The sequence below is a fragment of the Homo sapiens genome, chromosome 8 (genome assembly GCF_000001405.40).
Source record: "Homo sapiens chromosome 8, GRCh38.p14 Primary Assembly".
NCBI lineage: Eukaryota > Metazoa > Chordata > Mammalia > Primates > Hominidae > Homo > Homo sapiens.
This window is the reverse complement of record NC_000008.11, coordinates 107,263,414-107,289,424: the sequence shown is the minus strand read 5'-3', so window position 1 is coordinate 107,289,424 and position 26,011 is coordinate 107,263,414. Positions and strand designations below refer to the sequence as shown.

The 26,011-nt window shown below is 35.6% G+C and overlaps 1 protein-coding gene across 4 annotated transcripts in view, besides 1 other annotated feature; it reads left to right on the top strand.

Moving 5' to 3' along the window:
- The window catches only part of ANGPT1 (angiopoietin 1), a 248,437-nt gene that overhangs the window by 208,494 nt on the left and 13,932 nt on the right, over positions 1-26,011 (top strand). For 3 of the 4 annotated variants that reach the window (NM_001199859.3, NM_001146.5, NM_001314051.2), the window contains 2 exons: positions 4,577-4,743; positions 25,074-25,204. In NM_001199859.3, coding sequence (NP_001186788.1) covers positions 4,577-4,743; positions 25,074-25,204 — 298 coding nt within the window. Of the gene's footprint in view, positions 1-4,576; positions 4,744-25,073; positions 25,205-26,011 lie in introns of those variants that run through there. The other variant, XM_047421699.1, reaches the window with a different exon arrangement.
- Positions 15,758-15,958: a silencer, noted in NCBI's record as "peak7142 fragment used in MPRA reporter construct". NCBI's record gives its function as "represses an SCP1 promoter by STARR-seq MPRAs in K562 erythroleukemia cells {active_cell/tissue: K562}" and the evidence as "EXISTENCE:reporter gene assay evidence [ECO:0000049][PMID:32103011]".

The window sequence follows — 26,011 nt, the reverse complement described above, 5'->3', positions numbered from 1 at the left end:
TCAATTTTACTTCATCTATAAAAAGTCAACGCTTCCTGAGAGCATTATCAGACAAAACAAATAAAGTATCAGAGACAATTATTTTATTAACTTGGAAAAGCACAAACCAAAATTGAACATTTCTGCAGGTTTTGGCAAAAACTAACAAATGTTGATCTTTCCTTTGCATGTGTTTTTGAGTAATATGTGCCTTTTAAGGCCAATTTTAAGTCAGCATTAGTTCAGATTAAATTTCAGTGTCTTTTTATCCTTTTATTAGAGCGTTAGAGAAGAAATAAAATCAATTAACAATGTATCTGAGTTACTGAATCAAAACCTTTCAGGTGATTGTGTTTGACATCATTAAACATCATTTTTACAAAAGTACATGGCATAGTATCCTTAGATTTTATTCATGAAAAAGAGGAAATTGTATTGTAATTGTTTACTCATTCGTTGCTGCTTTTTCAATATCAGCACAGAATTTCATATATACTTTCATTTTTATTTTTATGGAAGTTACAGGCTATTGGGGGTAAAATAAAGACCTGTGGTAAACTGTTATGTGCCATAATGTGTAAGCCTATTTTGGAGCATATGCATTGGTTGACTCTGTCTTTTAGGCATGAATATGAATTTTTGAAGGACAGTCCCAGACATGTAATCAAAATTTGCCTCCCTATAGGGACCTCAGTATGAAGATGAGATTTTACTCCTGCATTTTCCCTGTATACCACTCAAATAATTTGATTTAATTAATATGTTCTTTTTAGTTTGCACTTGGAATATCTATTCCACATCATATTTATATGGATCTCTACCTTCAGTTCATAGCAGACTTACATGTGCAACCTTTTACATGTATAGCTCTCCCTCTGAGTCCACCCCAGACATACTGAATCAGAATCTTCACGGGGGACCTAACCATCTGTATTTTTTTAAAACCCCCACAGCTGTTTCTGATATGCATTCCTGGTTGAAAGCAATTATTACAAATATTAACTTATTAGCATGGTATAATACCTTAAAAATTACCTCTTGTGTAGCTCCTAAAACTCGTGAGATATGGAAAGAGAGGGCTTGAAAGAGATAGCACTAAGGGAGAGTCGAAGGAAACAGATACTTAAGTACTTGGAAGCAAAGGTAAGAATAAGAAAGTAGTCTGTGCTTTCATTAGTACTATAGTTTAGTCCCAATTGAAATCAGTTGGTTGTAATTTCTTATTTAATAATTAACTTTTTGGATTAAAATGACAATACTCATTTGTATAAACCAACTCTCAATTTAGTAAAATATTACATTAGTCCTCTGAGAGCCTTTTAAATAATTATTTCAGTATCCCTTTATTAATTTTTGGGCTAATACAAGACCCAAGATTATTCTTTTTCCTTTTCTTATACAAAGTAGAAAGGAACTTGTTTCCCCACATATGACTCACAGTCTCATGGAAGAGAAGCAACTAACCAGAAAATTACTGTGTATTATGACATATATTTTAACTATAACAACAGCTAGATTTTTAAGTGTTTTCTGTCTATCAGTGCTCAGTTAAGTGCTTCGGTTATATTATCAATTTTATTCTCAAAACCTTGTATATGAAAATGATGTCTGTAATCCCTGTTTTGCAGACAGAGAAACTGAGGCTCAGAAACAAAGTCGATATTTCTACAGCAAATATGTGGCAGTTCAAGGCTTTAATCTGGAGCCAGAGATAAGGGGTAGAGGTTATTTCATCCAAGCCAAGCCTTTGTCCTACATATCAGATCTGTGGTCATGCCTGGTAAACTATCCAAAAGACAGTTTACTAATGTGGGAACACAATTCCCCTTCTTTCACGTATTTTTCATCTTTATAATGAAACAGTTGTTTCTGGATCACTGCACTTGGCTATTAGAAGGTTTCCTCCCTATATTGCAGCCATTTTGATTCATTGTACTCAAACCTTTTGCTCTCATACTAGAGCATGCTTGGACAGTTTTTTGGGAAGGAGCTCGAAATAAATGTTAGTTTCTAAATGCAAATTATACTGCGTTCTTTTTAGTCACTTCTTCCTGAAAGACAAAAATGCAAACTGTTTAGGAAGGGATATTTATTTCCATTTAGAGGGAAGTACAGGCCTGCATGTGGAGACAGGGATGGAGGCTGTCCTAGGAATGAGGCTAATGCTTGTCCATTTCTAAGGCTCACCCAGGATCACTGCGTGTTTCCCTGGGGAAGTTGGAGAGTTTTATCCACACAGCGCTTTCAACAGCATGGAAATATGTGACCCAAAACTTAACACTTCATCATTCCCAGCCTCTTTATTCACATTGAGTATAAGTGTTGAATCCCTTTTCAATGACTGCACAGAAAAGGGAATCATCAAGTGGCAAGAGGGAGAGTTTTGACATGTCTGAGCTGCAAAAAAATGCAAGGAAAATCCCAGTGGTCTTCTTTTTCTTCCCAGGGGCTGTTGTAATTGATAAAGTGCTAATTCTTTGACTTTCAGCCTCCTGTAACTTTCTGTTTTGTTTATGCTTTGGAGAAGGTAAGCTTTGCTCTTCTCCTTAGTAGGTAGCATTGGCTGCCATAAAAATGTGTAAAATTCTTAGCACACCAGAAATTGCTCTAATATTTCCTGCCACTGTGAAACTTTTACAAAGTGTGACTTGAGCATCTTAGGAACAGAGAAGTAAAGAGCCAATGGAGTACTAACTTCAGTGGTCTTATAGCTTTACTGTGAGCTATGGGTGGATGGTCTTCAGAAGAGTATATACTCAATGCAATCTGGACCAAGCATATTCAGCCTATCAAAAAACTTAGTTAAATTGGGGAATAACTTTAAAAGTGTACACATATGTTAATTTTAACTTTAAATATAACAGTATACATCACATACCCATTAATAAAAAAAAATAAAACGAGGGCCAAAGCCTGGAATTCTGTGTCATCAGTTCTTTCCTAAAACTTTCCCATAGTAGAATGCATCCAATCTCTAGTTTCAGTTTTTTAAAAATAGAACAGTACATGAAGACACATGCAAGGCAATATGTTAAAAATTCTTTAAATTTTTAAAATTTTTCCCAGTCTTTTAGAGTTCCAACAATTCGTAATTTTAAAAAAAGTTTTACTAATTTGCTTTTATTGAGCAAATCCGGATATTTATAAAAAATTAAAACTCTCTTTTCCCACTAATATTTAACTTATTTGCATAACATTTTATAAATATTGCAATAACTGAACTGGCATAAATGGGTTTGGTACCAAACACCTTTGAACTTTGGTAAGTAACTCAGTTGGCAGAGGAGGTAGTGCGCAAGTGACCCAGTTGGGCACTTTAAGAAACATTTCACCAAGACTCAACTGTACTGTCTACAACAAGAATTGTGCTTTAAGGTTACTTTTCCATGTGTTATTGTAAAATGCTGTAATATTTTGTTTTCCTTCCTCCTTACCTCCATTTCTCTCTCCCTTTCTTGCTTCTTTCCTCTATCCTTTCCTTTCTACCTTTTTCTTTGAATTTCAAAACAACCCTATTGGAATGCTCAGTGCATGTCAGCTCTTCACTGGTTTTTGGAAATTCACAAATACAACACAGTTTCTATCATCAGGGAGCTCACAACATGGCCAGTGAAACAAATATGTAGATCAAGAATTACATTGAACTTCAAGCACTGCCAATGAGTATTTTCTGAGGCAATTGTGAATACTCCAAATCTAGAATGCCAGCAAGTTTCTAGGGGTTCTTTCTTTTCCTATCACTAACATCTCCAACATTAAGCGCTGGCTTTCTTTTGGGACCACTTTTTTCTCCCTACAAAGAAACTATTTTGAATACTTAACAACCTTGACTTCCCCCAAAGAGAACAATAAAGTCATGTTGACATTCAGAAGCCAAGCAGTCAGCTAGGTTCACTCAGGAGCACTTACAAATCAGCCTTCTGCCTCAAAATTCCAATGCCAGTGCAGCTTTGTAAATAATTACAGTCATGGATTTACAGGGTTGCTTATTAATATTTAAAAATAAGAAAGTTAAAGCTCCAAAAGTCATGGTTCTAGTAATCTATTAGTTTGGTGCAAAAGTAATTATGGTTTTTACCATTGAAAGTAATGGCAAAAACTGCAATTACTTTTGCACCAACCTAAATATGAAGTTATTGTTGAAACATAATTGCATTTGTGAATAATAATAGTAAAAATAATATTGTTAAATAACTTGTCTAATATCACTCTCATAGTGTTCATTGAAAAATCTTTAAACTCTATTCAAAATATTTTGTTAACTAGTAATTTAGAAACATTTTCAAAAGCAAACCTTGAATTGAGAATTGTTTTCCAGTTAAACCTATTAACTAGATTTATTTTATACAAAATGTCTCATCCACACAGATTTGAATAACAGAGGTTTTATTGTACTAAGTAAGAATTAGACAGAAGCTTTGATGAAGAGACACAGAATTATTGAAATGTCAATCACTGGAGAAAAAGTGTAAAATGTAAAAAACAAAAACCTTTACTTTTTAATAATTTTTAATTATTATTTAGAAAATAGTTAAATGCTGAACATGAAAAGAATTCCTCTCTAAAGTAACAACTGCATCTCTATATTGTTTCCCAGGGTTTTGGAAATCCCTCCGGTGAATATTGGCTGGGGAATGAGTTTATTTTTGCCATTACCAGTCAGAGGCAGTACATGCTAAGAATTGAGTTAATGGACTGGGAAGGGAACCGAGCCTATTCACAGTATGACAGATTCCACATAGGAAATGAAAAGCAAAACTATAGGTAAGTCATGCTACAGTGTAGTGTTCGACTACCTTTTACCTAGCCACTTAATAATTGTAGTGGGAAAATATGAAAAAAAGAAATGAAAATCATCCTTCAAAATGAAAATTCTTTTTTTTTTGTCTAGACCTATTACAAAGAGGTACAAAAAAGCCTGTAAAGACTTTTTCAAAGATTTAAATTTCAGTTTTCGTAGGTTGACTATCTTTGATATTGGCTTAAATTTTAGGGAATGGTGAATGAAGTCAAGCATACTGTTGTTCTGTGGTTATCATGCAGTTGCAGTGAATTCATATATATAAAACTGATAAGTTTCATACTCAAACTCATTGGCTTAAATAATCTCTTTATTCTAAAAAAAGATTTTCTGGTTCTACTTTTTTTGATGACCTTTCTTGAATTAGCATTTTTCAAATGATCTTGAAGATGACAAAAGTAAAATTTTTTTATGTTTGAATGATTTACATAAAAGAGAAGATGAGGCATGATTTAGAGGGTTTTCTTGGTAAATCTAAAAAGCAAAAATAAATTGTAATAATGGCATCAATATACATAATACATGATTGCAGATGTAAAAATAGATAAACTATACACTTAATGATACATGTTTCCAATTATCCTTTTTCAATGAGAAGCTCGTCTACTAGGGAAAAATAAACACACAAAAATATGGCTAAGGAAATAATGTGATGTGGTGGATTCATTGCACGAACACTTATTGTGTTACTTCTGTGTTCCTGGAATTCTACTGGGCGCTGGTCTTACAGACGTCAAAGTCAAGCTTTGTTACTAACTAGGTCACTAAAAACTGGCTGGCATTCCTTGGGAACAGGGAAGATATTTTAGTTACTCTTCTACTGCTACTCATTAATGCAATTCTTGATGCCTAGCAGGTCTTTAATTGTGTGTGCCTCAGTTTCATTCTTAGTAAATTAGAGTTGTAATGATTTTTAACTCTCAATATTGTGACTGCTCTACCTCTGTCTTGAAAATATGATTGTATGAATTAAAGGGTGGGCACATTGCTTCAAGTAATTGCAACAATAGCAACCCAACCCTTGCGTGTGTTTTGTTTCAACCTGTGTGGTTATCTCATAGTTCAACTGTTTCTGCTGCTTATTTGTCTTTTCAAGACAAACCTTTTTTTTTTAATTTTTTAAAAGTTTGAATTCTGCATATTTTCATAGGCACAACTCATTTCATTTTAATGGATTATGTATGGGGTTGGATCCTTGGAGACATAATAATCATTTTCTCGACAAATAGTAATGATGTCACCACAACAGAGAATGAGAAATAGATCTAAAAGAGTTGATAGTCTCATGGTGGGGGTGGAGGGGAAGCGAGGGTGTACTTAATGGCAGCTCAAGAAACCAAAGAAGAGACATTTATAAAATGCAATGGAGTGTAAGAAGAAATGTTTCCAAGGAGGTCAATATTTTGAAAGTTTTATAACAAGAAAACCACTGTTAAACATCAGGGATACTCTTATGTAAATGTTTTGACCTGAAACTTGAAACTATATGAAACTTGGCTAATGTCAGACAGCCTGACAATAGGACTAGCAAATAATTAGTCTAGTCTTTTCCTAGGCTCCTGAAGAATTTGCTTTGGTTCCTTTCCAAAATGTCTCTCAGTTTTTCATAGGTGGCTGCATGTGTGTGTGTGTGTGTGCATACACATGCATATGCATGTGTGTCAGGCTTGGAGGGTGTTGCGGGACAGAGTGTTGGGGCAGGGTTAGGAGGATTGTTGGCATCTGTGGTGCACTTCGGAGTGTATGATGTGTATGCCATTCTGCCATCTGCATGAGGAAGGAGTACTCACCTCCTCTTAGAGTGCCCCACTGCCCTTTTGAGCATTTCTCATTTCTTTGACATCTGTGTGATTTTGTATTCTCACCACACAGTAGGGATCTATGATCAAAAAGTAAGTCTTCCCTGCTAGGGTGATGCATACACTCTGATATCCCCATTTTTCTTTCTTGATAGAACTGTGAACCTTGAGAATCAAAATTATAAAGCCAGAAGAAATGTAACAATTTAATTTCAAACCTCTGGTTTTATGGGAAGGAAAGCTGAGGCTCATATATATATATATATATATATATATATATATATATATATATGGTTCATATATGTAATATATATATAATATAATATATGATATATAATATATATGAACTCTTCAAGCCTCACACACATGCATATGCATGTGTACACACGCACACACACACACACACATACACACATATATATACATATGAGCCTCATATATATAATTTTGCCCAAAAAGGGAGAAAGACTTAAATAAGGGATGTCTAACTCCTGCCTCATTCAATGTGGTTTCTGTTCTGTCATGCTGCTGACATGAAGTTAGTGGTTCTGGCCTCTTTCCTGCAGGGACCTAACAGAAAGTAGATGTGCAGTCATCATTTTCTCATGCAATTCAAGTATACGATTCACGTTGACATGAAATGGGAAATGAGAACTCATTAAAACATAATGCTTACTCTGGTGAAAGATTCATTAAAGTAAACACACTATAAGATGGTGTTATTCGCTTTTTCAAAGAAAAATGGAACAGAAGCCTGAAAACAGAAGCTAAGCCCTTGCAACTTTTCTCCCTGCCTGTATCATCACGTATGCCCAGTACTGCTTCTCTAGGCCCATTAATGCCTCCCGTGGCCTGCAGTTAGAACTCACATTGTCCATCACTGCCTCATGTGCTTTTTGTCCATTCATGTCTCGTCCCTCTGAATTGGCGTGTGTCTTTGTGATCAATTGTTTCAAGTATTAATACTAAGATTTGCACAGTATTCCATAACCTATGAAATGATTTTTAACACTACAAGCATATAAACCTCTTTTGGAGGTAGGTATTATTAGACACATTGTTTTTTTGAGACGGAGTCTCACTCTTATCGCCCAGGCTGGAGTGCAATGGCGCGATCTCGGCTCACTGCAACCTCCGCCTCACCGGTTCAAGCAATTCTCCCGCCTCAGCCTCTCTAGTAGCTGGGACTACAGGTGCCTGCCACCATGCCTGGCTAATTTTTTGTATTTTTAGTAGAGACGGAGTTTCACCGTGTTAGCCAGGATGGACTCGATCTCCTGATCTCGTGATCCGCACGCCTCAGCCTCCCAAAGTGCTGGGATTACAGGAGTGAGCCACTGCTCTGGGCCTAGACACATTTAAAAAATAAGAAAACTGAGGTTTTGGTCAGTTGACTTGGTCAAATTCAACTAAATTCCGACTGAAATATAAAACTATGAAATTCATACTAGGTTTTTGTTTTATATTTTTTGTTTTCTATAACTTTTCTCAAAAATTAAATTAAATTAAATTAAATTCAGAATTGTTTGAGGTTTTATTTTCTAAAACATATTCTATCATGGAAATTTTGTTTGAAAATTCTTGTAACAGGTGTGGTCCTAATGTTTAAACCTAACTGTGGTGTTGTTTTTTAAAAAAACATTTATCATGCTCTTGACATATTAATTAAAAGAAAGTGTTGTGAATGGATAGATGAGCTTATAAATGTGCATGTATTACACATATTTTTCTTTTATCCTCTAAGGAAACTCCAAATAATTTTCTCAGATAGAAAATAAAATCTGTAGAACCCAAGAGAATATAAATAAGAAAAAATAATAATGTAAGAGTGTCATGATAAGCATAGCATATGAACTAACATGTATCAATGTGAAATTATTTAATACTTCCTCTAGAGAGGTAGTATTATCCAGATCCTCATCATCTAACACCCAGGCAATTATAGAACCTTCCTGCCTCTTTAGTCTTCATACTCTCATATATATCTTCCATGCTGTTGTTGAGATGATTTTTCTAACAGACAACTTGGTCTTTCCCTCCTTCATATATTTCAACAGTGTTCAAATATCTGCAGGTAAAAGTCTACCACTAAGACTCTTCGTGACCTGGCCACTACCTAATTATGCACCTATTGCTGCCATACACTCTCCCTAACTTTACCTACCTGGATACCCTTCTCATTAACGGTTATGTTCTGGTAACTATTTGCGATTGCCCTAAATCCTCCATGCCTTTGTTTATGCTATATTCTTACTCACTCAACACATAAACTTAACTTTGTCACATGGATACATCTTAAATCTTTAAGATTCTCTCTTATTCCAAGTCTTCCCTGATACCTACTGTGGTAGATGTAACGTGTCAACCCATTGCCTCCTTCAATACTAAAGCGCTTCTTTCTTCCACTTCCGGGAAATGTTGACTGACAGGTTGCAGCTGAAGTCCCCTTTCCAGGCACTGTTTGTAGTTAAAGAAAAATTAGCCGGGCGTGGTAGCACATGCCTATAATCCCAGCTGCTCGGGACGCTGAGACAAGAGAATCACTTGAACCCCGGAGGTGGAGGTTGTAGTGAGCCGAGATTGCGCCATTACACTCCAGTCAGGGCGACAAGAGTGAAACGCCATCTCAAAAAAAAAAATAAAAAAAGAAAGAAAGTAACATCACCCAAGATTACTTCTTGCAAGATACATTGTATCTAATGACTGGTCAATATAAGAATATGAAGACCCTCTTGCCCCAATTTGGGGCAATTCTGAAGAGCCCCTCAGAATCCAAAATTCCACTTCAGATTAGTTGAAGTCTTCACCATGACAGCATGTGAGCCCTGAATCTCCCTTTGCTGAGTTCTGCATGCTTCACTCTGCCACGGATCCTGGGACCTCTCCCTTCTCAACCTCCCTACACTGATTTCCCAGAGAAATGCATCACCCTCATTCTTAGGCCAATTTGGATACTCTGTGCTCCCATTGACCCGTAGCACTCTGGATAACTATCCAGGATCCAAATCCTGTTATAAGTCATTAATGAGTGACTGTTAACTATCTTTAACTTGTGCTCTCTCTCTCCCCCCCCCTTCCTTTGAGTGTGTGTGTGTGTGTACACGTGTGTGTGTATGTGTGTGTGTTCTAAGCTTTTAAAGTGTAGAACCCATTTTGGAAAAATTCAAGATATGTAACTAATTTAGCCAAATTACTGACTAAGCTAGCTATATTTGAGGCACACATACTATACACCAGATGTCTTGTTTTCACAAGAGAAAACTGAGGCATAGTACTTTGCACAAGGTCACAGGCACTGATAACGATGAGTAGGAGTCCGATTTGAAATTTGGTCTTATAACTACCCACCATATGGGCATCCTCAAATAAAGAAGTTCATCAGTTAATTTCTAGAATTAAATAAACCCAAAACACATACTCTAAGATATAGTATATGTTTATTCTAACCCTACTTCTCTCTTTAATAATTTGAATGCCTTTGGACACATTACCTATCTTTCCAGTTCTCAATTTTCTATTCTTACAAGTTAAAGTATTTGTAAAGCACCTTGTAGCTCAAAAATTTTCTACAATAGAACTACCTTTACCTGTGCATCACTATTTTTATTACCTTTCAATTCTTTGATAAAAAATTAAATTTGATCTCTCTAATAAACACTTGAGAGTTTATTATCAGTTTAAAAAAACAAATACACAACCACCACTGCAACAATAAATGCTTTAAAAATATTTTAATAATAGCAGATTTATTGTAGGGTTGAGGAGATGCTATGTCCACTGGAAGGAGCTCTGGAGTCGGAATCAGGATGTGGAGGCTGAGAAGAAATCTGGCTCTACCACCTGGGAAACTGGCATGGTTGTATTTGTCAGTGTTCAGTCAGGGGAGCAGAGCCATGATGAGTCTTACGGAAATAAGGTTAAAACATATGCTTGAAATTTGGCATGGCAGACAAGCCAGAGCTTGTGAAAATCTAAGAAACCAAACACGTGTAGCCACCAAAGTGGAACCACAAAAGGGAAGATCTACAGAAATTTGTTGCCTTGCTGTAGTTCCATTAAATGAGGTTGTGCAGTCAAGCATCTTGTGGTGGGTCTGGAGCTGTTGCCAGCATCAGGAAGACAAGCTGGGTGCTAAGTGAAGAAATACACAATGTAGAAACTGTCAGGCATCTCTGCCCCTGGACTTCACCATATCTGATGACGTTCTCAGAGTCAGGCCACTGCTTCACTTTCGCCTTCCAAATCTCACACAAAATTCTCTTTTAGCCAACCCCAGCTTAGAACCTTACAATGAAGGGGATTCAGGGAAATGGAGTACCCAGATTAACCAAGTTGATATTACTTTTATGCCTCAGTTTTCTTATCTTTCAGTGGGAATAATATCCTCGAATCAAAAAGAGTGTACATATATACCTTGTATTTGGTAAACTTAAATATCATGCTAATACGAAAGCTGTTTAGAGACTGGGTACAGTGGTTCACACCTGTAATTCCACCACTTAGGGAGGCCAAAGTGGGAGGACTGCTTGAGGTCAGGAGTTTGACATCAGCCTGGGCAACATAGCGAGAACTTTGTCTCTATTAAAAATTAAAAAAACAAACATTCACTTGGCGTGGTGTTGCACACCCATTGTCCCAGCTACTTAGGAGGCTGAGGCAGAAGGATTGCTTGAGCCCAGGAGGTTGAGGTTGCAGTGAGCTGTGATTGCACTGCTGCATTCAAGCCTGGCTGACAAAACATGACCCTGTCTTTAAAAAAAAAAAAAAGAAAAGAAAAGAGCAAACAGACTTTTTAAATTAAATTTTTATCATGCCCAAGAAATATATTATTGAGTCAATAAACAATTTTTAATTATATATTCTATATCGAAATCACCACTATTGTCTCCAACAATGTCCTTGGCTGGTTGATAGTTGTTTATTTACTTGGATTCAGGATCCCATCCAGCTTCACTCATTGCATTTGCAGTCATGTCTCTTGAGTCGCCTTTTACCTGAAACAGTCTACCACTCATCTATCAATTACATTTTTCAAGACTTTGGGTCAGCTTTTCCCAGAACAGCTCTTTCTGGGCTTATCTGACTATTTCTTTCTGATTAGATTCAGATTAAAGCTTTCTTGAGAAGAATACTAAATAAATGATATTGTCTATTTCCCATTCTATCACATCCAAAGGCACAAAAGATTAATTTGTTCCATTATTGATTGGGCTAAGCTTAATCACTTGTTAAGGTTTTGTTTTTGGTTTTTTAATGGAATACCTATTCTCTCCAAAATTCTTACAAAGGATCATAATGTATGAAACACGTAAAGCTGATCTATTTTGAAATGGTTGTGGGAAGGTAGTATAATATTTCCTCTTGCTATTATCTCAAACATTAGTACAGCACAGTTTAAAAACCATTGTGTTATATTATTATAAATAAAAAAGTAGAATTTACCAGTTGGAAATAAATTTCACTGTACTATTTTTAAATGTTAAAAGAAAACTATATAAAAATTTTTCTGCCTTAATATTAAAAGGACACAATTTTAGTGAACATATTCCATTATAAAGTCATTTTGCAGGTAATTATTTTCAGATCTTGGGAACAGTTTGTTCCTTACAGTTCATTATTTTGTTGTCTTTTATGCTATTAACTTAATTAGTAAATCCTCTGTCACAGATGGTATCATGAGCCTCTCTTTTAAGCAATAGAAAATTAGTATTAGTTAAGTCCGAATGATAATGTTTAACATTTTTTAATGCACATCTTGTCATTATAATCTTACTACATAATTTATAATGCACATTTTGTGGATATTTATATTTTATTGACTTTATATTATTTATTGAGGATAAATGACATCATTAGATTAGAACTGACTGTTGATGTCTATCATAAGCCTTGTTCTGGAAAAGATTCCACATGAAGAGATGAACAGAATTTTAAACCAAAATTGTGAAGAAAACAACCTGAAAATAATTTGGTCATTAAATATCTTTTTGCGCAAGTTTGTTTTTGGCCAAGATCTTCATTGGGAAGTAGTTTGATGTAATTTGTAAAACACTGTATCGGGAATCCAGAGACATGAACTCTAGACTTGGATTTGCAGTTACTTTTCTGAATGACCTTGGACAATTTGCTTCACTTTTCTAAGTCTCAGATCCTCAGAAGTAAAATGAGGAGGTAAGGCTGAAGTTCTTTCCAGTTCCCCAATCCATTTTTTTTTTTTAAATCATTAAAGTACTCCCATGCCGTGTATGTATTTCAAGGACAAAACAAATTCATGTGGATTGAAAAGAATTCTCTCGAGCCTCCCATGTAAATTTAAGCCCTGCATTTTTGTAGATATTGCAAAACTTGTTTCATTTTTTTTTTCTTTCAGTGAAATGTTTCTTATTTCTCTGATCCTCTGGGCTACATAGTCCTGGATGGAACCAGTAGCAAATATGTTGAAATACTAAGAGGAAAGTTATTTTTTTACAGCAGTTCTGGACTGATCAAGGTATGAAAAAATATGTAGGAAATCTCCTGGCAGTTTCTACTTCCCTCAATTCCTAACATAGGTTTTCAAACTCAAGGTTTTAAAGAGTCTTATTTGTGTTTTCAAATAATTTCTCCAACTTGGAAGGTGCATTACTTTTATTTAGACTGTGATTTTTGTTGTGGTTACTTCCTAAAACAGAGAAGTTGTTTTAATCATCAAAATTTATATTTTAATCCCCTTGACTGAGATGAAATACTGAAGACAAAAAAGGCTTCCTGGGTCTTCAGAGGCACGGATGAGCACATTCTTACAGTCACTTTGCACCTTCTTTAGGTCTTTTAAGTGTTGGGAAAATCTCTTCACTTAAAAATGCAGTTGAATGTCAGTCTCTAGAGTCTTGGATATTTTTCAAGCTGATGAAAACAAATGCCTGCATGCTGTTAGGTCTAAGGATTCCCAGAGGATTCCTGTCACAGAATGGGTAATGCTAAGACTCAGACCACTGCTGTCCTAGAAACTTACAGGTTGGCAAAAGTTGCCAGAACCAGCTAGCAAGCACTGCCTCCAATAAATTATCTAAGGTGATGTCCTGTGATCCACTGCTCTAGGTTCCCCTACTGCTGTTCACTATCAAAAAGATGATGGCTCCATGAAATATTTGTTATGCATCCATCATGTGCTATCCTAGGATAAAATGTCCACAGAGATTTCAGTACAGTCATGTATACGTGTGTTCATGCAGGTGCATACCCATATGTGATGGATATGGAGTGGGGTCGGATGGTTGCAGACAGCCAAACAGGCAATTACAATGCCACGAACACAGTCAGTTCACTTACAATCACAAATGTGCTGTGACTAAAGAGGGCTAACCAGTTTTGGAAGGTTGAGAAAGCTTCCAAATAGTGGCCTAAAGTGACATAAATGTGGCAAATTGGTATTAGTTGGGGAATAGTTCAGAGATGGGGGTAGAAGAGGGATTAGCTCAGAAGTGAGACTCAGCACGTCTTGCTAGGAAACTACAAGTGGTTAACTGTTGCTTAAGCTTAGAGCGTAAGGGGGTAATAATGAGCAATCATGATGCTAAGAGAAAGGAGAACCGCTGCTTGTGGCAGACTTGGGACAGGTAAGCAGCCATGGCCTCTGGGGGCAATATTGCTCTGATACGGCCTTTTCTCACATCAATTTTTTCACACTCAATATTTTGATTACTCTGTTTGGTAAATATGAGCAACAACAATATGCAAGCTACTGTGGATGAAACAAAACCCCACAGAACTCAACCTCTATTTTTCAAGATTTTATTCACTTTGCCTAATTGGATTTTCTTGATCCTTTAAGTCTTAGCTCAGTCCATAGAGCTCTTCGTCCTTGATTGGGTTAGGAGCCCCTTCCATGTCCTCCCACTGTGCTCTGGGCATGTCTTTATCAGAGTACACATCACACTGGGTTGTAATTGCTGTTCCCTATTATTAGACTGTAATCTCTAGGAGGACAGGAACCTCTTCACAATGCTTGGCACATGTCTCGAAAAAAAAGCATTTCTTAATAGGTATATAAAAGACATATTGACAAGGTTTTTTTGTGCATTCAACACAGGTGATTTTTTTGTGCGAATCCACACAGCTGACTAATACATGGCAATTCTTGATCTAGATACCAGAAATTCAAAGAGCAACAAGTCAAAAATCCTGCCTCCAAAGGTTTATGGTATAAAATGACAGTTGCCACTAAGATTTCTAATAAAGTATCATGTCCTTAAGTTCCCTGGATTGTTGTTGCTTAAATAAGATTTATTTTCTAGAACTATTAAACTCTAGCTTCTTTTATCTTTATCTCTTTTATCTTTAACTGCAAATGATATGCAAGAATTTCTATATTGCTTGTTGGCAAGTAAATAAAAAAATTAATAAAATTGTCCCACAGCATACATTGTTCATTTCTCTTAACTGGCTACAGTTTTGCTTTTACCTACATAACTTTACTAAAATTACTCTCTTAAAAGTTATTATAGTTCTTTTGAAATCAGAGTCTGCCTTCATTGCTTTATCCAGCCAGCCAACCACCATACACTTACCGTGTTACTATTATTTTCCTGGCACTATGCCAGTTGTTTTATTTCTTGAATGTGCATATAGGTAACTAGGGTGCCTGTTTAAAGTACAGATTTCTGAGTCGCACCTAAAGAGATTCTTATCCTGGGTTAAGACCTAGAGCTCTCAGTCCTATCAAGTGCACCAAAGTGATGCTGATGCAGAAATAACACTTTGGTTACACCAAACAGACACACCATACCTTCTCTTGTGGGGCTAATAGTTTAGGAGAAGGAAACAAAACATGGAATAGTTGACTCAAAAGTTTTAGCTGAAGTGATTTAGCATGTCTGTTTGATTTTTCTTTTGTTTTGTTTTTTGATCAAGGAACCATAGATCTTTTTTTTTTTTTTTAATGATGAAGCCAAGGACTTTTTCCCTAGAATGATGAAGAAACACAAAATTTTGTATAAATTTATGTGTAATTCACCTTTACACTCACAGTCCCTGGGAAAGAACCCTTGGAATTAGGCTATCATTGGTTACTTAAAAAAAAATAGTGGTCAATTCTACTGGAGTTGGGAATGGATAGGGTTCATTGGAGGAGATTAAATGGGACTGGGAAAGGCTTCATAGAGGAAATCCTTAGAGATGTGTGAAATGAGTAAGCGCTCATGAGGCAAGTATGGTAGTTAATGGCAGGAGGAAGGACTTGAGATCCCAGCCAGAGGAGCAATGTGGACACACATGCAGAGATGAGAGACAGTCTGCCTTATTTAGAGGACAGCAAGTATTTAGAGGACATCTTGTATGCAGGGCTTTACTGTGCTACATATAACAGAGGGCTAGAATCCATGACAAAGATTTTCGACTCTAGCTTATACTGATTGTGGAGACAAATAAGCACACTGATGACTTTGGTCATCAGAAGAATCTGCTAATGCATGCTGGAGGCTTATTTGCAGACCTTATAGCAATACAATGTCCAAGTACAACAAGGGAAAGTATTTTCTCTTTGCAAGAAACCTCAGACAATGCATCTCAATGGTTTTCAACATTTTGCTTACCCTCTCCTCTCTCTATCTACCCCAAGGGAATGCTGGAAAGAAAGTTTCTTATTGCTCTTTAAACACAAATAAAAAATGAGAACAAATCTACCTCCCGAGAATTTGTTTAGACTGAAAAATCACCAATTTCAATCACAAGTTTTACAAGGTCCTGACTTAATTTTTGGTAACAAAGCAAAACCCATAAACTCTCTGAGATGGCCATTGGCCTGGTCTTTTAGGCACCACAAGAGGGTCAGACCAGAGAGTCACTCACTGGAAGCTGACTCTATCAGTCACACATGATGCCAAGGAAATCCAAATATGTTTAAGGGACTGTTTGTGTTTTAAACAGGGGTCTTGGTGTCACGTGATTCATTTTGGCACTCAGTTTTTTTTTTTTTTATGTATTCTTAAAAAAGGGAAGGAATACTGGAATAACTATTTATCTTATTTTGAACTAAAAACATAATCACTGAGCATGTATTTCTGAAATTTGGGAAATATTTCATTGTCACAGATCTCATATATATACATACATATATAATATATATTATATATGTATATGATGTACAGAATAGAGAGCACTCTGTCAGCACTATTGAAAGGCACACAACAATAACAGTACGTGGGTTTGCTATTTTCTTTGGAGGAAAAATTTATCATGAGTTTTGAGCATATGCAAGCTTCATGTCTATCACTGCAAAACACTAAGAACTGTATTTTACCAGAGTTTTGAAACAAAAATTACTGCTAACACTGTTCCTAATGTCAAGAGCTTGGGAAGACCTGGAAGGTTGATAAGCTCATTTTATCTAAATTCTACAAGATATTAATGTTTGTAAGTGAAGGGGAGACATTAAAAATGTATATTATCAAAAACTTACATGGAAATCCAGAGTACAATTTATACAGGTGTTATACAAGCTAATATCTAAAACAATCATATGAGAATCAGAGATTAAGTGAAACTCAATTTTCTAAAGATTTTTCATCATTTGGGGTGAGGTTTTCTGTAGCTTTGGAAATTTATCTTCCTTAATCATAGCACAGATTCCCAGGACCATTACTATCTCAAACATTTTTCATATTTTTTCACACTTTTGTGTACATCTTCCATTACACATATTCCAAAATGAATAGCATATCTACCTCAGGACATCTGTAGCTTCTGAAACAAATAAGATAATGTCTTCCTTCTTAACATAATGGTAAAATTATTATGCACAAATTCTGGTGATTCCCAATTATCCAGTTCCCTGTTAAAACAAATGACACCAATTGTGGAAGGTTTAATGAGAAAAAGAAAGCTTTCAGCAAGTAGTCATGAGAATTAAAGGCTAGGTTGGCATGGATGATTTTTCCAGGAATTTTTTTTTTTTTTTTTTTTACCAGTATCAATTATGAGTAAAGAAAGGAAAACCAAACAAATATATATTGGATTCATTCAACAAAATATTATATGATGGCAAGAAAATTGTAGGGTTCTCAAAAGTCTGAAATTTTAATTTATTAAAAGATAAACATTTTAATTGAAGGATATTTATTCAGACCATCTAGAGTCAAATTAACATAGATCTTAACTACATAGTCAGTCAGCAAAGCAACTCTTTGGTTTCTTGTCCTTCATGTTTAGTACTCTGCTTCCTCTATAGAAAATAAGAAAAACTTCCAAAGGATATGGGGCCTCATGGGTTTGAGAAAATTGATCCTTTTCATCTTTAATTTCTCTGGCTTGTTGCCTCCATGCCTGTCCTCATGAGCTGTATCTCTATGTCATTGTTTTTATCACTCTCAGAACACTTACATATGTCTATCAAGGTCATATGTTTATACCTGTGTAATTTAGCCTTAGTCATTCCCGTAATTCATGCCTATTGAACTACTGTATATTTTATGGTTATTGCTTAAGGAAGTTTGATTACTTTAATTTTTTTGCAAATAGTCAAGTACTTACTTTATTTTGCATGCAGCAGTCTTTTTAAGGGCTTTCCGGGTATCACCTCATTTAATCTTCACAAAATATTGGCAGGACATAGAGGTATTTTACAGATGAGGCAACTGAGGATCAGAAAGAATAAGAGCTAGATTGCAAACCCAAACAGGTACACTACAAACTCTGTGATGTCATGCTGTCTTTCCAGACACAAGTGGTCATGACACAGCCTTAATTTGCAGAAGCCAATGGCTTATTTATTTCTCCATTTCGTGTGTGTGGAGGAGGAGGAAAAAAGGAAGAGTTTTGGTTAATGGCTTTATAGAGGGTTATTTCTTTCATTCGTACTTATTTTGTACCAAATTACCTGTATCTGCTTGATCTGTATATTTTTAAAATGTTTTTAGATATCTATAAGTCTTTATCACAGCCTTAATTCTTGATTAGTCACACTTTACATTATCAATTCTTTTAGTCTTCCTACTCACATCCTCTTTTCTTTGGAAACTTCTTTCAAACATTTCTTTTCTGGATTATAGATTATTGTCATATAACTGAATGTCTTTAATATATTCACTCACTTTTTCGTAAGTGTATTAACTTTGCTTCATATATTTTTCTAGCATTTTCTCACATATTCATTGATAGGCTATTGCAAATAAGTAAAGAATTCTGTTCATGTATGGACAATAGAGTTATAGAATATATCTCCAGGATGTGAAAAAGTCAGTGCTAACATACATGCTCTGACATCCCTCTTGGCTAATGGTGCCCAGTTCTTTCAGTGGAAAGGGGGTAGGATTGGAGAGGTTGAATATGGCAGAGACAGCCCAGAAGCAGCAACTAGAAATCATAGCCACATCAGGAAACTCTTGTCAGATTGAGCCATTGCTACCAGCCTCTGAAAGAGAACCATGAAGGTCATTTTGAATTTCTTAGTAATTGTGAGAAAGATAAACTAGTTCCATATGGTGGCAGGGAGAGAACTCAGAGCCAAAATAAAAATCTGCTCAGCTTGTCAGTACCTACGACCTTAAAGTTCAGATATCTGCGAGTCTGTCTACTGTTTAAAAGGGTTGAGGCCAAACTTCAATTTGTCATACAAACAACTCCCACTGCCTTGGATCATGAAAGAGACACTTGGCCACCTGAGTATGGTGAAGATGCAAAAATGTGAAGAGAGTGAGTCTCTTAAGTAGAGAAAATTAGTAAGAAACTGGGTTCATGAGATTGGGCTGCCCATTTTAAAGAAAAGAAAGTTCTAGAATCTCTTGGATGATATATAGGAATATTTTGAAGCCTGTTCTTCCATAATAGAACTCACTGTTGTCCTATATTCATTAAGAAATGTGATGATTTAGTCTTTATAATTACTGAAATTTCTAAAAGTGATTGAAAAGGAGTAACTTTTATCAAAGATGACTAGAGAATAATGACTAATTTCAATGGACATCAGTTTTCCCATGATATGCTAATTGAAAAAATAAAAATGCTGACATTCTTTATAGTCATCCGTCGAAGGGACTCATTTTTTTTTCTTTATTAGGAGAAAATACATGGATGAGAATAAATGCCATAATTCTATGTCGTGGCTGCTTTTTGGTCACATCAAATTAGATTCTCTGGAGTTTTTTGTTTTGTTTTGTTTTTCACAGCTTCCTTATGTCTGTCCCTAATGTTTTTTTCTGGAGGAACATTTTGTTTTTATCTTCTAACATATCGTCTTTCATACAGGCCATGTCTACACTGGCTGAACACAAGAAATAAATAACCAGGATTCCCATGCTGTTATTTTGGGAGATGTATTCTAACTAATGTTTCACACTTCCAATTCACTGTCACGGTAGTCAGGTGCAAAGCCATCCTGTATATTGATTTTTCTTTGATAAACTGAAAGTCTATTTGGAACAATTATTAGCTTCATAGAGAAAGCCACAGATGATAGTTAATTACACATAAGGACTAGATATTAGCCAGAACCAGTGTTAAAAAGAATCATCCAAATGTTCTGTTTGAGCCTCAACTCAAAGAAGTTTTTTTTTTTTAAATCTAATTACAGAAATACTTGGCACTAATGAGTGACTGGTCCTTAATTTACCTGTATCAAATAACTAGCTGTGGTCGTTGGCTTTGGGCCAAAAATTGGGACTCTGAGCTAGGTAAAGAGCTGCTAAGAAAGAATGAGCCCCTGAACTGTGCAGGAGACCTTCTCTGGACTGCATAGTTTCTCCCAGAGTCCTTCTGGGATTCCACAGAAGTACAGTTGTCCTCATGTGCAAAGTTTTTAAAATATTGTTTAGAAGAAATGATTTTTATGACATTTCATCTTTATCTCCCAGTGCAAGAGACTGTGTGTCTCTTCCTTAGAAGAGCATAAGCCGCTCCTCTGTGACATGCTAAGGATATAAACATGGGGGGATGAATACTACTTCATGTAAATTACAAGTGCTACTAAGTATCCAACAGTGAAACATTCATTATTCCTCAATATATCAGTCCCTTCTACTTGTACATCATTTCAACCAATATATGTCACTGTTTACATTGCACATCTTGAGACTTCTCTCTACTTCTGCTTTATGTTTTAATGCTTAATCTGGGCAGGACCTTAAGGAATTATGTTCACACCTTATTAGAATATTTCTTTTTTAAAAAATAATTTTAGCTGAAACACTAACCTTAAGCATATTTTTATTTTGAATTTGCTTTCAAATTGTTTTCAGTTGGCTATTCATACAATACAAATAAATTGTTCAATAAAATGTAAGGAATAATAGGAATTAAGACATGGCCTTTTTTTCCTTTATTCTATCTGCATAATGCCTTGCTCATGTTTTTATATTCTGGAGTCTCTGAGAAAATAAGAACAAAAACAAAACTGGAAAGATAAGAAGGATGTGAGAGACTGTATCTATGTACACACACACACACACACACACACACACACACACAACCCTACATGTGTATTTTTTAATTATTTGAGTTGGATGGGCAATGAAGTGGGTACCCAGGTAGGTATGTTGAGTACCTAACTAAATGAGATGTAAAAGCTATACTTCTGAAATGTAGACCAAGTATATTTTGATATTAGAGTTATTTATATTTGAGTTTGCTTTTGCTTGCTACCTTGAGCTTACCAAAAATTAATCAGTTAGTAAACCCATCATCCATCTAGTCAATGAACATTGAGGCCTTTCTCTATCTCAGAGACTGTTCAAGATTTCAAGATTCTGATGATTCAAAGATGAGTAAGACATAGTCTATGCCTCAAGGAGCTCACAGTTTATTATGGGAAACAGAAAAGTGAAAAGACAATTAAAATACAGCAAGTAAGTGTCATCATGAAGATGCTGATTTGATGCTCTTTGAGGTTATACTTGGAACAAATCTTAAAGGATGGATAGGAGTTCAGCAGCTGTTCAAACCTGGAGAGTACCTTCTAGGAAGAGGGGATGGTACTTGCAAATGTATGGAGAAATAAGAGTGTTGCTTAGAGGGAATAAGTGAGTGGGTAAGGCTGGAGCACTATGTGTACGTGCAGAAAATAACAAGATATGGGAGGGTTAGGGTGGGTGAGACATGGGAAAAAGTAGACAGTAAAGGACTAGACTTCAAAGGCCTTGCAAATCACAGTAAAAAATTTGGACTTTATCTTTGAATTTTGGAGGAACAACCGAGCAACTTTAACCAGAATAGAGGAATGATGAGATGCATGTTTTTGAATGAGCTGCATGGACTTCATGGGGAAGGGGAAGAAGAAGTGAAACTCAAGGCAGGGAGACTAGTTGTAAGTCTTCTTTGATAATCCAGAGAAGAACTGCCAAGACTAGAAACTGACCTCCAAGTCTTAAATAGATCTGGAAAGATGTCTCTTTACTGATAGCCTAACATAGCATTGATAACATTCATACGGGGAAAGGTCAGGAAAGAAATGTGGATTATATTGTAATCCTAATACCTATACCTATATACCTATACCTATACCAGCACACATATAGAGAGATACCTGAAGGCAGCCTTAGTCTTGTGACTATTGATGATATATTCATACAATATTTTCCAAATGATTTTAGAGAAAAAAATGTAATGATATGAAAAAGTGGTCACAAATTTGTATTTGAAAATAATCTCATACAGAAACATGTAAAGTATAATTCTATTTCTATTTGTATTTTCACATGGAGAGAGGTTGTTTTTGAAGGATACCTCTAAAGAGGGAGATGAAATGGGGCTGTGGGCAGAAGCTTTACTTATAGTGTTCAAAAATTTTATAAGAATGTGTTCAGATACGTATATATTTAAAAATAAATAATATTTTATATTTAGAGGGGAGAAACAAGTAAAATACTAAAAATTGTTAATATGAAAAGAGTAGTTATACTCAGTGATGAGATTTGGGTTGATTTTTATTTCTTCTTTTTGCTTTTCTTCTCAAATTTATAATCATGCATTTGTATTGCCTTGATTACACAAATAAATAATTATAAATTATGAGACTTAGATTGTAAATCTTATGTGAAAGGGTAAAAGTATAAACTATGTATTCAAGCACATAGCAGTCTCTTATTTAAAATCAAACATTTGTGCTGAATTCCCTGCAAAGACACTATAGAAAATCATTACATCCTGGAAAGTCTGTCTTTATTAGTGAGCTTAAAGCTACTGCGGAGAAAATGGCATTGACTTACCGTAAAAAGGAAGGCCATTACAAATCACAGAGAAACAAAAAATCAGAGTTAAAATTGCCATTGCTCATTCAAGAGCGCCTATGGGCTAAACTCTCCCAGGCCCAGTAGAGCAGATTTCACGCTAGGAGAGACGTAGCTACTTAATTTTGGAATCATTCACTTATTCTCTCAATTCTGATTCTGTCTTCACCAAACAAGTAACTTTCTGATTATAATTTGGCTTTCTGTGTGAAATTCTCTCTAAGAAGACCATGAGACTGGGTCCCCACCATATTCCTACTTGGACTGCAAATGGAGGCCTGACAAAAGTCTCTTGTTAGTTTTGCCAATGTGTGTCTATCTTTGGGAGGCTGAGGACCTCCAAAGAAGTGATTGAATTGAAAGTTCTCACCAGCTCTGGAAGGTGGCGAATTCACCCAGGTAACATGTCCCAGAACTCCCTTTGGTGATCTGTCATCTTACTTTCTCCTGGTGAAACCCACCTCCACGTGGGCTGGCTGCAGCCTCAAATGTGAATTGGCACTTTAAAAAATTCTACAATTTTGCATCACCAGTTACTTGTAGTCTGCCTCTCAGAGTTTTAAAATACAAGCTTGTATGTGATAATTCAACATTAGAAGATTATTTGTACTACTGTGAACCAGAAGTTCCATTAATTATTGAAACCAACAAAAACTGACTGAGGTTTACTTGTATACTTTGCTCTGGCTCAAAATCTCTGCAGAATATTTGTAAAATATTGCACAAACATCCAATAATATTGTTTTTTGCTAAAAATAATATCAAATACCACAAACAGTAGGATATATACATATACCTAGATGAAAACACAAGTTAAAATATATCTCCAAATATTAATTGATCTTTATTATTCTATTTCATAATAATGTAATGTTTTGCTCAGAGCCAGCCTAGGTTTTAGGAGTGTCTCACTCATACAGAGATGTGAATCACCCATTAACTATACTGTGGGTGGACAGGATTCATAAATAAGACCCAGGCATACAGGTGGTGACCTATATGAATTTGAAGGGGATATTACTACATGATTCTGATGAAAACATTGTGCTGGTATGGAGAAGCAGTGTTAGGTAGAGTTAGAGAGAGAGGGGCTAGAGTCTTAGCCAGAGAACACCTTGAGCTTCAAGCTGTCGATACGACAACTTCAGTTTAGCTACTCTAAGCCCTATGGAGCCACTGAAGGACGTGAGCAAGTTTACATTAGTTCTAAGCACTACGTTGCCCAGAAGGATATGAAAGCAGCTTGTACGATCAGTAGGAAATGAGCAGACATCAGACAGGTCACTACATTTGACAACTATTGTGATTTGCCCACTAGTTCTCGGATTCTAGGACAATACTTGTCAAAATGTTCTCTTTGGACAGTCTGCAAAGAGAAATCTGAGATGCTAGTTGAAAACAAACATTCCTGGGGTTAGTAAATAGGCCTTTTAAACAAAAGATCAGATGATTTGTTATATGCACATCCATTAGAGGGCCACTGATCTAGGTTAATGCAAGTTTTATATAAGAAATGTTTCTAGATAGTAAGAGAGGTTCTTCGAAGAATGCCATATTAAACAGATGGGATTTTGAATTTAATTTTAGGGATACCTCTAGAATACAAGTCCCTCAAAAGCACAGATTTTTGTTTTCTTTTCTTATATATCTTAAGTGCCTAGATCAATAACTGGTATGTAGTTTGTGCTCAGCAAATATTTGTCCAGGGAATGCATAATGATTCAAAGCTTGAGTTTTAGACTCATACCAGCTAAATTCCAGCTTACATAGCTTCCCTAAACCTTAGTATACAAATTGGGGATATTAATGTCTGGATCACAGATTTAATATAAAAATTTAATCAAATAAACACTGGAAATCATTTAACATAGTGCCTGGCACAGAGGAAATCCCCAATCAATGAAACTTCCTCCTTTTATTGCTATTAATAATGTTTAGTACATCTGCACTATTAGATATTAATGGATTAAGGGAGTGACATGCTGAATTGACATTGTAAAAAGCGTTTATGTTTAGAGGTTAATACCTGTATTAATACAATAAACCCAAGTTTTTATGTTTTCTGGATCCTGCAGTATCAGAGAACCACATGAGTTTGAGCATGCATAATGAAATAAACTTTTTCCTTCCTTTGTTCTTTTGGTTCAGATAGCTTGGGTCTCCTAGAGGTTTGTTGGAAGGGCTGAGTTCAAAGAAAGAAGAAAATGATGAAAAAGGCAAACATTCAACAAGCTGGTCTTCTGGGTTCTGTTATTCTGTCGAATGGCTTATCTTTCTTTTTTTTCTTTTTGACTTCAGGTTGTATTTAAAAGGTCACACTGGGACAGCAGGAAAACAGAGCAGCCTGATCTTACACGGTGCTGATTTCAGCACTAAAGATGCTGATAATGACAACTGTATGTGCAAATGTGCCCTCATGTTAACAGGAGGTAAGTCCTATGGGGCCATTCTCTAAGCTATGTTTCATTGGTTTGGGGCTTAAGGTTTCTTATCTATGAGAAAGGAGTATGATCTTATGGTCAGGAAACTTAAGAGCAAGTCCCTAGAGATCATTTTGTTCTGCCCACGAATTTACCCTGCGTTCTTGTGTAAGACATTGCTAGCATATTTAGAGGTTTGCGTCCTCCCCCAACATCAAGAGTGAAAATGTGCTAAGCTTGGTTCTGAATACATTTTTCAGTCTCTTAAGTCCCAGATATTCTACTTTCTAAATTAGTATCTTGATATCCTTAGTAAAATGAACAATAGTTTGGGAACTCAGCATATACAGCAATTACTTCTTATAAAATACTTCGCAATTATGTAGTAAGTTAATTGATCATTTTGTTGAAATGAGATAAGAAAAATAAAGAGGTGTAGTTAAACCAAAGGTAACACAGTTCAGACCAGCTATACCAGAGTTTTGCATTACATAATATTAATCATTGCAAGATATTTTAGCTAGTATAGGAGATACCATTAAATAGTATCATATCATAGAGTAAGAAAGTTAATCCTTTTGTACATTTTAAATATTTTTCCAGCCTTCTGATAGCCCCACAGAGAAATTCTCAATTTGGTGCTCTCATTTCTGTAATACTTCTTCAGTGATGTAATGCATCACTTACCAATGATGCTTCTTGGCAAAACAAACAAACAACAAAAAACAACAACAATAACAACAACAAAAAACCCTTATCCATAGTCTCAGAGCCTTGGTTAAGCAATGGCACATACCTAAAATTAAATAATGTTAG